We start from the raw sequence: 13,791 nt of genomic DNA on the forward strand, positions 1-13,791 counted from the left end.
CTTTTCTGGGTAGTCTGTTTATTCTCCCTCAATTGTGCTATCTCCTGCATCTCACTAATGAGCTTCATCCTGTTTTTGACAGACCATTCTCTGTTTCGACAAGGTAAAATTGATCAGTGAATTAAACACATGTGAAACATCTCCAAATACAAACCCACTACAGGGAAAGATTTAAATGCTGTCCATTTCCTTGCCGATAATAACTTGGAAGGCAATTTTAATAGCCAGACGGATGCTGAATGGAGAGCTCTGTTTAAACTGTGTCTTCCATAAATAGAAACAAAGTGCAGACATCCTGCCTCTTAACTTGACTTCTTTTGTCATCTAAAGCTTTCAGAAGTATGCCTTTATTTGTTTTCTTGATTTATCTCTTTCCTTCTACTGCAAATGAGACTACAGCCAGGGAGCACCCACAGCAGGACTAGGGCTGAAAGGACTCCCCCTCAATTATCTGTCACTAGGAGACCCCCATGACACCTTGGGCCACCCCTTAATATCTCACTGCCTTGTGAAGATGAGCCAGGTGAATCTTTCATTTGAATTGCGAATTTGATCACTTGACTCCAAAATGAGACATTCCATTCAACCAAATGGACATTCCTTATGAACCAGGCAAAGTGGGAGTTCAGGTAATCCAAAAACCTGAAATTGCATTTTTAAGTTTTGTCTCTCAGACTCAGAAACTTTCAGAAATAAAAAGATGTTAGAAATGATTTAGACTCGGCTAGGCGCAATGGCTCATGCCTGTAATCCCAGCACTTTGGGAGGCCGATGTGGGGGGATCATGAGGTCAGGAGCTCGAGACCAGCCTGACCAACATGATGAAACCCCATCTCTACTAAAAATACAAAAATTAGCTGGGCGTGGTGATGCAAGCCTGTAATCCCAGCTACTCAGGAGGCTGAGGCAGGAAAATCGCTTGAACCAGGGAGGCGGAGGTTGCAGTGAGCCAAGATTGCGCTACTCCAGACTGGGTGACAGAGTGAGACTCCCTCTCAAAGAAAAAAAAAAGAGATGATTTAGACTTTTAGACTCAGAATTGATAACCTGAGGCTCTTAGAAAGCTCCAGAGTGCACGAATGGACTCACGGATTCTCTCAGTCCTGGTGGGCTAGGATATGCTGTGGAAATCTGTCTGAAACTGGTGGGTTCTTGGTTTCACTGACTTCAAGAATGAAGCTGCGGACCCTCACAGTGACTGTTACAGTTCTTAAAGGTGATGTGTCCGGAGTTTGCTTCTTCTGATGTTCGGACATGTTCGGCGTTTTTTCCTTCTGGTGGGTTCATGGTCTCGCTGGCTTCAAGAGTGAAGCTGCAGACCTTTGCACTGAGTGTCACAGCTCATAAAAGCAGTGCAGACCCAAAGCCTGAGCAGCAACAAAATTTATTGCAAAGAGCAAAAGAACACAGCTTCCACCAACATGGAAGGGGACCCAGTGGGTTGCCACTGCAAGCTGGGGCAGCCTGCTTTTATTCCCTTATCTGGCCCCACCCACATCCTGGTGATTGGTCCATTTTACAGAGAGCTGATTGGTCTGTTTTACAGAGAGCTGATTGGTCCATTTTGACAGGGTGCTGATTGATGCATTTACAATCCCTGAACTAGACACAAAAGTTCTCCAAGTCCCCACTAGATTAGCTAGACACAGAGCGCTGATTGGTGCATTCACAAACCCTGAGCTAGACACAGGGTGCTGATTGGTGCATTTACAAACCTTGAGCTAGACACAGAGTGCTGATTGGTACATTCACAATCCCTTAGCTAGACATAAAGGTTCTCCAAGTCCCCACTATACTCAGGAGCCCAGCTGGCTTCACCCAGTGGATCCCGCACCAGGCCGCAGGTGGAGCTGCCTGCCAGTCCAGCACCGTGTGCCCGCACTCCTCAGCCTTTGGGTGGTGGATGGGACCAGGCACCATGGAGCAGGGGGTGGTGCTCGTCCGGAAGGCTCCGGGGGCGCAGGAGCCCACGGCGCAGGGGAGGCTTAGGCATGGGGGGCTGTGGGTCCTGAGCCCTTCCCCGTGGGGAGGCAGCTGAGGCCCGGCGAGAATTCGAGGGCAGTGCCGGTGGGCTGGCACTGTTGGGGAACCCGGCGCACCCTCTGCAGCTGCTGGCCCAGGTGCTAAGCCCCTCACTGCCCAGGGCCAGTGGTGCCGGGAAGCTGCTCTGAGTGTGGGGCCTGCCGAGCCCACACCCACCCGGAACTTGTGCTGGCCCGCAAGGGCAGCATGCAGCCCCAGTTCCCGCCCGCGTCTCCCTCCACACCTCCCAGCAAGCAGAGGGAGCTGGCTGCGGCCTTGGCCAGCCCAGAGAGGGGCCGCCACAGTGCCGGGGCGGGATGAAGGGCTCCTCAAGCACGGCCAGAGTGGGCGCGGAGTCCGAGGAGGCACTGAGAGTGAGTGAGGGCTGCGAGGGCTGCCAGCACGCTGTCACCTCTCAGTAACAAACACTTTGAGAATCTCAGTGGCTTCAAAGCAACAAAGGCTCATTTTGTACTCATACCACATGATAATACAGGGTTGGCTGGGACATTGCTCCTGCATCATCAACATACTCCTGGACATGATAGAAATGCAATATCAGGAATATTGCTGGCATCAATGCAGAAGGAAAGAGAGCTAAGCTCTTAATTCTTCAACCTAGAAGGGGGACCCTTTGCATCCCATTGGCCAATGCCTGAGTTCAGTTGGGGTAAAGAAGTATAGCCCTTCTGCCAGGAGGATAACTACTTGGAGAACTGTTTACTGTAAGGTCCACAAACCCTTAAAATTGTATGCAGAATTATATGTTAGCAGACATATGTGCATGCTTCTGGGAGCAGTTCTGCAGCTTTCAGCCTCTTCCAAAAAGAGTCGTTAACCATTCCTTCCCCACCCCTCACAAAGTTGAGAACCAATGGTTTTAGTCCAAATTCCTTATTTTACAGATGGAAGAACTTGAAAGCCAGATCTTTAAACGACTTGCCAAAAATCAAAACGATGTCCCCAAACTTGCCAAAACAACTGTTAATTGGGAGCAGAAGCAGCCCCTAAGACTGTATCAGGGAAAGGCCACCCTTTCAGGCACAGCAGAAGGCTCCAGCCTCCGCTTAACCAGCTCTCTGCATCCAAATTTAATTTAGAGAGGAAGAAAAGAGGTCATGGGAAGGGTCTTTGTTTCCTGTAGGTTTCAAATCCCAAATGGAGGTTGGAAACTGGTAGAGGATCCTCCTTGGAAACTTTTGAAAAATAACTTGTTTGAAAATATTTCAATGCCAAGAAAAACGTGACCCCTGGTCCCTGTCCCCTACTGTTCGCCTTTCCCTTCGGCCCTCTTTCCTTGTGTCAGGTAACCTGGGCTTCCATCATATTCTTCCAGCTTCCTCATGTCTCAACTGAGCTTCCCGTTGGGGACCAACAAAAGACATTATCCTGGAAGAACTGTTTTTTCCATCTCTTTTCATAACTCCATTTCCTTTCCGGAAGACCATGTGTTTTCCTTAATTCATTTCAGCTCCCCATCCTGCCTCCTCCCTTTTTCCCCCCACCTCCATCTCAGGCTGGAATATCACTCAGCTTCTCAACCAGCGTGGCAATGTTTCATTTCGGCCTTCCAAACAAACAGAAGTTGATGAGTCTCCTCTTCTGATTCTCCAGCATGAAGACCCTCTCCTTTGACCACTGCCGCCAATACCAGGATGTATGGGAAGAGTTGGCAATTTATCTACGTTCTCGATTCTCTTTTCTCTTCCTCTTCACTCGGTTAACTATTTTCTCAGCATATCCCTCATTTGCTGTCCGTTTTCTATGATGGACTTTTGTCAGGCCATGGTGGGGGACCAGGAAAACCAAACATTATTTGTATAACAGGTAGAAGTTATTATATATCAGCATAGAAGGCAAAGATGAACTGAGACCAATAACTATGTGATGGCAGGAAGCCTAGAATTCAGGGACATCTGCCTTCAGGTTTTGTGGAGCCTGAAGTATTTGGGGACCTCAATAAGAAAAATAATTTAAAATTGCGAGAAGGTAGTCAGGCATCAAAGTAAATATTTGTTTAGACATTAATTTAATTACAAGTGAATATGTGTTTATAATTCCTCATCCTCCCCTCCACATCAACCCCTTACAGGACATCAAGTATAAGGGAGGGGACACTGGAGTGGAAACAGGCAGCAGTCTTAGCCAATTAAAGTAAAAATATACTGTATTTGCAAATTTGACAAAAATGCACAATCACATGAACACCTTGCTAGGGCTTCTCCAAAGGTCTTGGGAAGGCGCCCCTGCAAGTGAGTGGCCCTAAAGTGTAAGATTCACTAAATTTGAGAGTCAGACTGTGTTGGAGATAGATGTAGCCAAAATATCTGGAAGGTGAAACAGGTCAAGAAGCCAGCAATCAGTACCTAAAGTCTCAGGCAAGATCCAATATTTATAATTTTTTTTTATGTCAGCTCTAGTTTTTTTCCACTCCCCCTCCCCTCCAATTTTTTTTTTTTTTTTTTTTTTTTTTTTTTTTTACTGCTAATGGCTTAATGCCCCAAGCCTCTAAGGACTTACATTTTGACAAAAGGTAAGCCAATTAAGGAACTCTTCCCAAAGAAGTGATTTTCAGTGCCACCAATATTGAGAGGAGTGAAGATTTCAGGAGTTGGGGACATTGTGTCTTCTCCAGATTCCCTCCAATCACACCAGGGACTCCTGGAAGCAGAATGGAGGGATAATGAAGTTTTCCATACGGAGTCCTGGACAGCCTTTAAGTGAATTAAGAGCATAGCGTATAAGAAAGGAAGGACAAATTGCATTCTTTGCATGTACACTGAAGGCTGATCCTGAAAACACCTTATGATGCTTTCTCCCCACCACATATTCAGATTTATTCTACTCTGAATTACTACATGGATTTTCCCATTCATAAGGTAAAAAGATAAAGAGATACCCTCTCCCTTCCACTCAAGAATGGTTGAGAATGGGAAGAATTTTCTTAGAGAAAAATTCCAACTCTTCCAATTGTTGGAAGAATTTTGTTCAGCGAAAATGGTATAAAGGAAGAAAAAAATTAACCTCAAAGCCAGTAAGGGAAAGTATGAAAATGATAAGTTTGGGTCAAATATCTGTTACAACCCATGATTCTTTCTAATTCATGGGGTTTTTTTCTAAGTCCAATATCAGACTGTGGTTCTTATCTAGGGGAGACATCCTTTGGTACTTGTTCTTTAGAACTGTGCTTATCAACACTTTTCTCGAGTAGCATGGACCTGTGTTCTTATTTAGGCACAAATGGGATGCTTGTTCCCACATACGGTCCTGCACAGAAGTTCCTGCCCTTGCCCTAAGGCCTGGCCCAATGCATATGGAGACTAACTGGTAACACACCTATGATCTGACTATCAAAGTCTTAGTCACGCCACCAGATAGCAACTTCCTTGCTTCATAAGCTTTAGCATGTCTTCCTTCACAGAAACAAGACAACATTTACAGGGAAATTCCAAATGTAGGTGATCCATTAACTCACTTAAAAACAGTCTCTTATTTCCAGGGCAATGGAAAGAGATTATTTTCTTCCAGTCTAAATATAGGCACAAATGAGAACTGAAACCACAGGGCTGATAACAATACTGTGGTTGATTCTTTTAAAGTCACTATCAGCAGGAAGAGCCAATGGGAGTGTTCAGTGAGGGAGTGGGGGTGGGAGAGGGTCAGAGAGACAAGGAAGCAGCCAGGTGCCAAAGTCGAAAGCATCATTTGACTTTAATCCTGTTCTAGAAACTCTGGTTGACATCTAAGTAAAGTCTGTTTTTATTTTGGAAGAAAATCACTCTTGTTTATTTGGGAAAATATTTTTATAAATTAGTTAAGTCAAACAATTTCTGAGTAATCCTAAAATTTGAGGTACTTGAGTGGCTTATGAGACTATACAAGTGAAGAGTGTATTAAAATAGAGATCTAAATACTAGACTTAGGAGCAACCAAGTCCTATTAATTGAAAAGACTGCTAGATTGGGGTAGGGTGGGGAGGGGCTTTCTAGTATCCTGAAACTGGGAAAAAAATCAGGGAAAAGAAGATAAAAATATCTTCTGTATCAAAAACAGAGCCCAAGGCTATGAACTAGACCCACTCTTCACCATTTGTCCTGGTGAGACAGTCAAATTGGCGTGGCTCTGAGCAAGGTGGCTGGTCCGTGCTGCCTAAATATGGCTACAAAGGCATAACCTGAAACACCAGATGGGAATGTTCAGATGCAACCCAGGGATGATCACAGGCTGGGTGATCTTATAGACTAGAGCGTCCCACGGAGCCCTAGAGTGGGGACGAGATGGGAATCTGAACACAAACTCTGCCACTCACTAGCAGTGACACCTAAGACAATCACTCCATTGTTCTAGACTTCATTTTCTTTGCTTTCAAAGTAGGACTGAAAGCATATGATTTGGGAGGGTCCTGAGGTTCTGACTATAGTCAGACAGGTCCACATATGGAAGGGCATTTAATGCTTGGGTATGTATGTTTGCACTATTAGACTGCTGGGTTGAGATGTTGTAGAAAACATCAGAATGCTAGTTGGGAGCTATTGTTATTGTGATTCCAGTTACCCTAAATCCTTCTTGACTCCCCAATGGGTATAAATACATAATAATTATGACTATTACCCATAAGGCCTCAGTCAACATTAGGGGTGTTAAATTAGCTGAGTTGTTGGACCAGAACACCTCTGAGGCCCTTTTTAACCAAGGATGTCTCATGATCCCAAGATTCTTTTTGGACAAACTTTAAACAAGTTAAGATCAGGGTCTTTAGGAAAAAGTTATCTGTCTTTGCTTCTCTTTCATATCCTTCTTTCCTTGTTTTAGAAAATTAGATTCTTTTGGGGATTGGTATGGGGCAAGAGGAAAAATGAGGAGTCTAGGCAGAGTTTTTGTGATGAGGCCAAGATCTCCTAATTCCATGGAAGAAAGTGAGATGGCTTGTTTAATGTGGAAAGGACTGAAGTTGTGGATTCAAGGATCAAGGATATATTTTTCCCCTGGACTGTTTCTAGGCTGGAGGAGCTGCACAGGATTCACAATTGAGGCTACAAGATAATCTGCTACAAAACTTTTATTTTCCCACCATCCCAAGCACACCACCCACCTCAAGGCAGGAGCCCAGATGAAGCATATGATATTAATTCTCAAGGGTTAAAACACTTTTCAGTATTGAAATTTGGGAAGCTTGAATACTTGAAGGTCACATACTTTGTTGGTGGCAAAATGAGCTCTAGATCTCATCTTGTTATTAGTCTGCTAGGGCTGCCACAGCAAAATACCACAGAGTAGGCAGCTTACACAAGAGATTACTTTTCACATAGTTGTGGAGGCTAGAAGTCCAAGATCAAGGTGTCGGCAGGGCTGGTTTCTGGTGAGGCTTTCTCCTTGGCTTGCAAATGCCCGCCTTATTGCTGTGTTCTCACCTGGTCTTTCCTCTGCATGCATGCCCTAATGAGGCTTCTTCCCCTTCGATAAGGAATTCAGTTCTTTTGAAGAACAGTGCCATCCTTATCACCTCATTCAAGCTTAATTACCTCCTTAAAGACCCTGTCTCTAAATAGAGTCTGACTAGGGGTTAGGGCCTCAACATATGAAATTTGGTGAGACATAATTCGGGCCATAACACTCCCTAACTCCCCATCTAATGTTCTCTCCACAGCAACACACTACACACCAACAGCAATGTGTGTGCAATGGGTGGTAGGAGAATACTAATTTCATTATTAAGTTGTGAAAAATCAGTGTTTTTAGAGAGATTCCAAATAATTATGGCACTCTTGGGTATTCACAGGTATTTTTTTTTCTTTGTTTCAAGTTTTAATCGAAGCTTGTATATAAGATTACTTTATTCCTGCATCTTCTCAATTGTTTCTTCCTTGTATTTGCCCTTTTCCTTTCCTACTTGGCAAGATTTGGCTTTCCGTTCAAGGATCTTTTCACAGTCTTTGTCCAGTTTTAGCCTAGTGATAACCACCTTGCTGGGGTGAATGCCTACGTGGACAGTTGTGCCATTAGCCTTTTCCCGCTGCACCCGTTCAATGTAGATAACATATTTCTTCCTGTAAACCTGGACTACTTTGCCAATTTGCTGACCTTTATAGTGTCCACGTACAACCTGAACTTCATCATCCTTTCGGATGGGCATGGATCACACGTTGTACTTCTGTCTCAGCTCTTTGGAAAGAGGGGAAGACATAGTCTTCCTTCGAATGTGGGAAGGTGCATTGAAATGCCTTTTGCGATTCTTGCTTCGGTCGGAAGTCACAAAGGGATTAAACTTCATTTTGGCCACTCCTGCTTCGGTGATAGCCGCAAAAGGGAAGAGCCAGAGGTATCTAATAAAAGGTAATAAATGAAAAAATAAAATGCTCTTTCTTGCTCTAATTTTAAGGCCACTTCAAGGATGCCTTGAGGGGTCATCTTTTGATATCAACCAGAATTTACAGACTTCAGTATTTCTACTAGGTGCTTTAGCCTGGATGAGAGGCTAAGACAGGAAATTTTGCTATTTTATTTAATATTTTTAAAACTGTCATGAGAAAACAGGATTGGATGACAGATGGCAAGTATGTGACATATGTGACATCATTTTATCTTCTACCAGTGGCAGACATTACTTAACAATCATGGCATTCACTGAACAGAGCTTCAGAATACATTCAGTGCAGTGCCTCAAATAGCATTTTTTTTTTTTTTAAAGAAAGGGTATGTGACTTTGGGAGACTGAGGCAGGTGGATCATGAGGTCAAGAAATTGAGACCATCCTGGCCAACATGGTGAAACCCTGTCTCTACTAAAAATACAAAAATTAGCTGGGTGTGGTGGCATGTGCCTATAGTCCCAGGTACTTGGGAGGCTGAGGCAGGAGAATTGCTTGAACCCAGGAGGCAGAGATTGCAGTGAACTGAGATCGCGCCACTGCACTTCAGCCTCCAGCCTGGCGACAGAGCAAGACTCTGTCTCAAAAAAAAAAAGGTATATGAAGAGATGAAATAATGTTGCCAATAGCTAGCATTAATTGTGTGCCTACCAAGTCCCATACATTGTTTAAGTTCTTTACACATATAAACCCATTTTTTCCTCATGACCACCCTATCAAGTAGGCACCAATAGAATTAACATTTTTCTGGTGGGGACAATGAGGCACAGGCGCCCAGCAAAGAAGTGGAAGAACTTGGATTTGAACTCAGGCCATCTGGCTCCAGAGCTGTGATCATTGTCATTCTGCTATACTGCTCTCTCTCACTCTAGGGGCAGTACTAGAGTTAATGGGGGGATATTGCAAAGAGTCAACTTGGGTCAAAAAAAGAAAATAACTTTTTTTTTTACAGTAGGATGGTTCCAATAATTGAATTGATAGTCACTTGTAATATTCATCTCCCTATCACTAGAGACACCAAGCAGAGTTGTAGAGCTATCTGTTAGGGTTGTGGTGCAATTAGTTTCTGAACTGGATAAAGAATGGAGTGAGTTGGGTTATAGCACTTCAACTTCCATTTGGCTCTAAAAGTCAAGGATTCCTTGACTTAAGCAAGGATTCCTTGACTTAAGCAGTGCGAGCAAAACTAGAAGGAACCACAAGTGACATCCTTCCTGATTCCTTTTTACCATATCCTTTACCCCCCAGCATTGTCGAGCAGAAAGAATGCCCAAAATTTGAATAAATCACACTGCATTTCAAAAATAGACACTCACTAGATGCCATATAAAACTCACACAGCCCCAGAATACAAACAGTAGTTGTGAAAAACTAAACTGAATTCTATCAAACCATTGTTCCTTCATTAGTCTGAGCAGTCTTACTCCTCTTCTTATCACACTTTTCTGGGAAAGGGGACAAGTTACAGCAACAATAAAAGTTAGGTAAGTTTGTTAGTTGTCAATGAAGTTGACAATGTCTTCAAATATTAACTCTCTCTTTATCGTGCCTCAAGAATGGCATGCTTTGCAAGGCAAGCATCCTTCTCTGGAATGTGACCTTGGCCCTTCCAAGGAGCAGCAAAGAAAAATGCCATCCCTATGAGGTTACCATTTACTGATGGGAAAGAAAATTAATGGCGGTTGCCAAATCATTGCAGATGAAACTCACATATGTCAAATACTGAGGAATCTTCTAATACATTATGTGTCATTCCTTCCAAGATTTTTATCCAAACAGCTCTTCTACACTTCTGAAAGTCTGTAGTGTTACACTGTGAGCCAAGTGTGAATGGCCTGTGTCACTTGTACACAGCTCCTGTGACCTCCTGTTTCAAGACAGAGTTTGACCCTTTCCTTGGACCAGCTCCAACCCAGACTGTAGCCTTACTTCCTAAATTTTTTTTTTTTTAGACGGAGTCTCACTCTGTCGCCCAGGCTGGAGTGCAATGGCGTGATCTCGGCTCACGGCAACCTCCACCTCCCAGGTTCAAGCAATTCTCCTGCCTCAGCCTCCTGAGTAGCTGGGATTACAGGCACACACCACCATGCCTGGTTAATTTTTTTTTTTTTGTACTTTTAGTAGAGACTGGGTTTCACCATGTTGGTCAGGCTGGTCTCGAACTCCTGACCTCGTGATCCACCTCCCTCAGCCTCCCAAAGTACTGGGATTACAGGCTTGAGCCAGCATGCCTGGCCCTTACTTCCTAAAACTTAAAGAACAAAACTCACAGAGGAGTCCCTTCTGATTGACTGGTATACTTCAGAGGACCCACCCCTAGGATCAGCTTGAGTCCAAACTCCACTACTGAACCAACACATGGCACCTTGGGTGAGTCACTTAAGGCCTCCACTTTCTGTCACTTATTTTCTGATACCTGGAATAGAGATAGTGACCTTTGGTCTTGACTAAATCACAAACAAAAAAAGTGAAGATAAAAGAAAACTCAGTAATATATAAAGACTGGTTAGAAACACAGGCGTAACAGAGACACAAGGGCAGTAGAGTACCCTTTCAGTGATTCACTTACAGAGGTAGTTCTGGAGAGTCCACAGGGGGTGTAGTTATAACCAGCAGGTGCTAGTGTTTATACAGGACGGATCAAAATCTGTCCTCAGGATTTAAATATACTAGACTATTGAAACTGGATACCTAATTCCAGGTTTGAGTAATTATGAAAAAGTAGATGTATAGTTGCAGTGGGGGAAAAAGGTTTATGTTTCCATTTAATAGTTTTCCAAATGTATGTTCTGAGAAAGACTTAACAAATGGGTTTATAAGGATCAAGCAGTCTGCTACTAGACCAATGTAAACCTAAACAACTAAATAGAAAAAAAATGTTGTTTTGAAAGTTGGGTTTTAGATTTTAAGGAGATTTGGAGGGAATAATAGGAAAGATTGTTAGATAAACTTGTTTACTGCTTAAGAAAAAATAGTCATAAGTTAATACATGATGATAGAAATAAAGGAAGAAGAATGACAGCTAACATTTCTGAATACTTACATTCTATGTATTTACATCCTGGCTACTTACATTCTTTCCCTATTCTAAGCACTTTTCACGTATTAACTCATGTCCTCATAGCAACCTTCTAATCTAAGTATTATAACATTATTATCCTCATTTTACAGATAAGTAAACTGAGGTAGTAATCATCCTCTTCTCACTCTTCTCAGCAATCAAACTTCATACTTAAGACCAGCCTGTGAGGTGTGCATTACACATCCTCTATGTGGTTGGTTAATGAAACTGAGATTCAGCCATGTTCAGGTCATACAGTTGGCAACATCAGAATGTGACCCTGATCTCCTAACTTGAAGAACTTTCTCTCCTGAATTGGGATGCCATCCAGTTAAGCCATAATAATGTGCTAGAAGTCCTTGTCTAAAGACTTTCTGAAATTAGATGTCCTCTAATGCATCGTTTAGTGTCTTGGTCCCACACTTGTCTTAGCAGGTCAGCTACATCTGGAAGTGTGTTCAGTCCTGGGTCCTGCTCCAAGCAGGATTTCAGGGCAAGGGCATGGCGCTGGGCGAAAGGTCACTTCCCTTTTGAGATTCTCTGACACTCTGCCCTTTCTTTTTAAGTATCCGGGCACCACTGGGCCTTGAATTGTCCAGGCTACTATCCAGTTATTTCTTAAGGATAACTTTGGCCATCCAAAATAAATCCCAAAAAAGTGACCAGTTAAAATAGTATATTGACAAATTACTACCATGGGTAATATGCATTTTTCTTTTTTTTTTTTTTTCCTCACATATTTTGCTAACTGAGAAAAGGTTGGCACCCCTTGTCTGGTTCTCTGGTCCAATCTATTTGTGTTTCCAAGTTTTGTACTATTAGACTAATAAAAAAATAATGCTCAGAGACTTGTCAGACTTCTTCCTGTATTGAAGCTGACCACTGCACACCCCTGAGACAGTCCCTATGACCGGGTGTTCACCTTGAGGTCATACAGTGCATGGGAACAGTTACATAAAAGCCAAAAGAGGGGCTCAGCATGAGGTCAGGAAGCAGCCACAGGCAGCAATGATCAGCTCTTGCAGTTGTATTCCTGCAGCTCACATGCTCTGCATTTGGGCTGACTTACTCAAAGTTCACCCAAGTAAGCCATTGGATTGATCATGAAATCAGGATTAATTCCCCTGCATGGGGCCTCTGGCCTCTTTCCATCAACATTTTTAGAAGGGTAAAATTTTATGTGTTTTTTAAACTAATTTTTTCTAGTCTTTTCCTTTCATTCATCTGTACTATTGCTTGATTGTAACCATAGTGCATATACAATGGTTTAATCCTGCTTTTTATTTACTTAGTGGCTTATCATGGGCTTTTTTGTTATAGTTGTTTTCTACATAGCCTTCATAGTGACTGTTATTATTTGGCTCATGAGGCAGCCATTTCTACTCCCCTGCTCCCTTGCTTGTCTTCCATTATAGATTAAAACAAAAACCCCAGTGTTTCTAAACACCCTGGTGCCAGGAGTACTCATGTACTAAAAGGCCAAGGAAACATGAAGAGACGTCTACTGAGATACTTTAGAGAAGGATTTTATTTTCCAGATAAAAGGGACAGACATAAAAGAAGGAGAGGTGCTGAAATCACTCTTCTTTTCTTTTCTTTTCTTTGTGCCTTGAATTGGGTCATCATGCCTGGAGTTTCAGCAGCCATATTGCAGTCATGAGGAGATAGGTGTGCAGACCAAACGCCAAGATGCTAAGAATGGCAGATGTAAATGTTAGAAAGTGTTTAGACCAACCCCAGGACCTCTCACTTCTGGACTTTTTGTTTTGCGAATAAGAAATGTCCTTAGGGTATAAGCCTCGGTTAGTCAAGTATTCTGTTTCTTACAACAAAAAGCTTTCCTAACTGTTGGGGTCTTTGCAATCGTCATTTTAACTTTGTTCAAATATGCCTAGATCCTGCAAACCTTGGCAATAGCAGGCAGTTTGTGGAAGTATTTCATGGAACCTTCAGGTAGCTTTGGGGAGTGACCAGGGTGTAAGAAAGTTTGCTTGATGGCACAGGTTGCGACTAGTCTAACTTTGTCCCCTTGCCTTTATTTCCTGGAAGCTGCCTCGTGGCTCAAGGCAGAGGCCTGGTCTATTATTTACATTTTTCATGCCCCAAGAGTGTCTCTGAGAGATTCCCTAGGTATCTGACATACTCACATGAGGCTGACAAAGCATTAGGCTGAATTGTTAAAATTAAGCCAGGAGCTGGAAACCAGGCTGATTATCTGTAAAATTTAGAGGGTCTTGGGTAACTTGTCTTCTTTCCTTCCAACTTCTTTCCTCCAGTTTCCCCTTCTCCTAACTGCCTGTGTCTCAGCGCATCTACTCTTTTAAGGCCTCTTCAAGTTCTG

The 13,791-nt window shown here is 43.0% G+C and overlaps 1 pseudogene; it reads right to left on the bottom strand.

Annotated features, from left to right (window-relative positions):
• Positions 7,813 to 8,335, bottom strand: RPL26P19 (ribosomal protein L26 pseudogene 19; annotated as a pseudogene).

This window comes from Homo sapiens, chromosome 5 (genome assembly GCF_000001405.40).
Source record: "Homo sapiens chromosome 5, GRCh38.p14 Primary Assembly".
Lineage (NCBI taxonomy): Eukaryota > Metazoa > Chordata > Mammalia > Primates > Hominidae > Homo > Homo sapiens.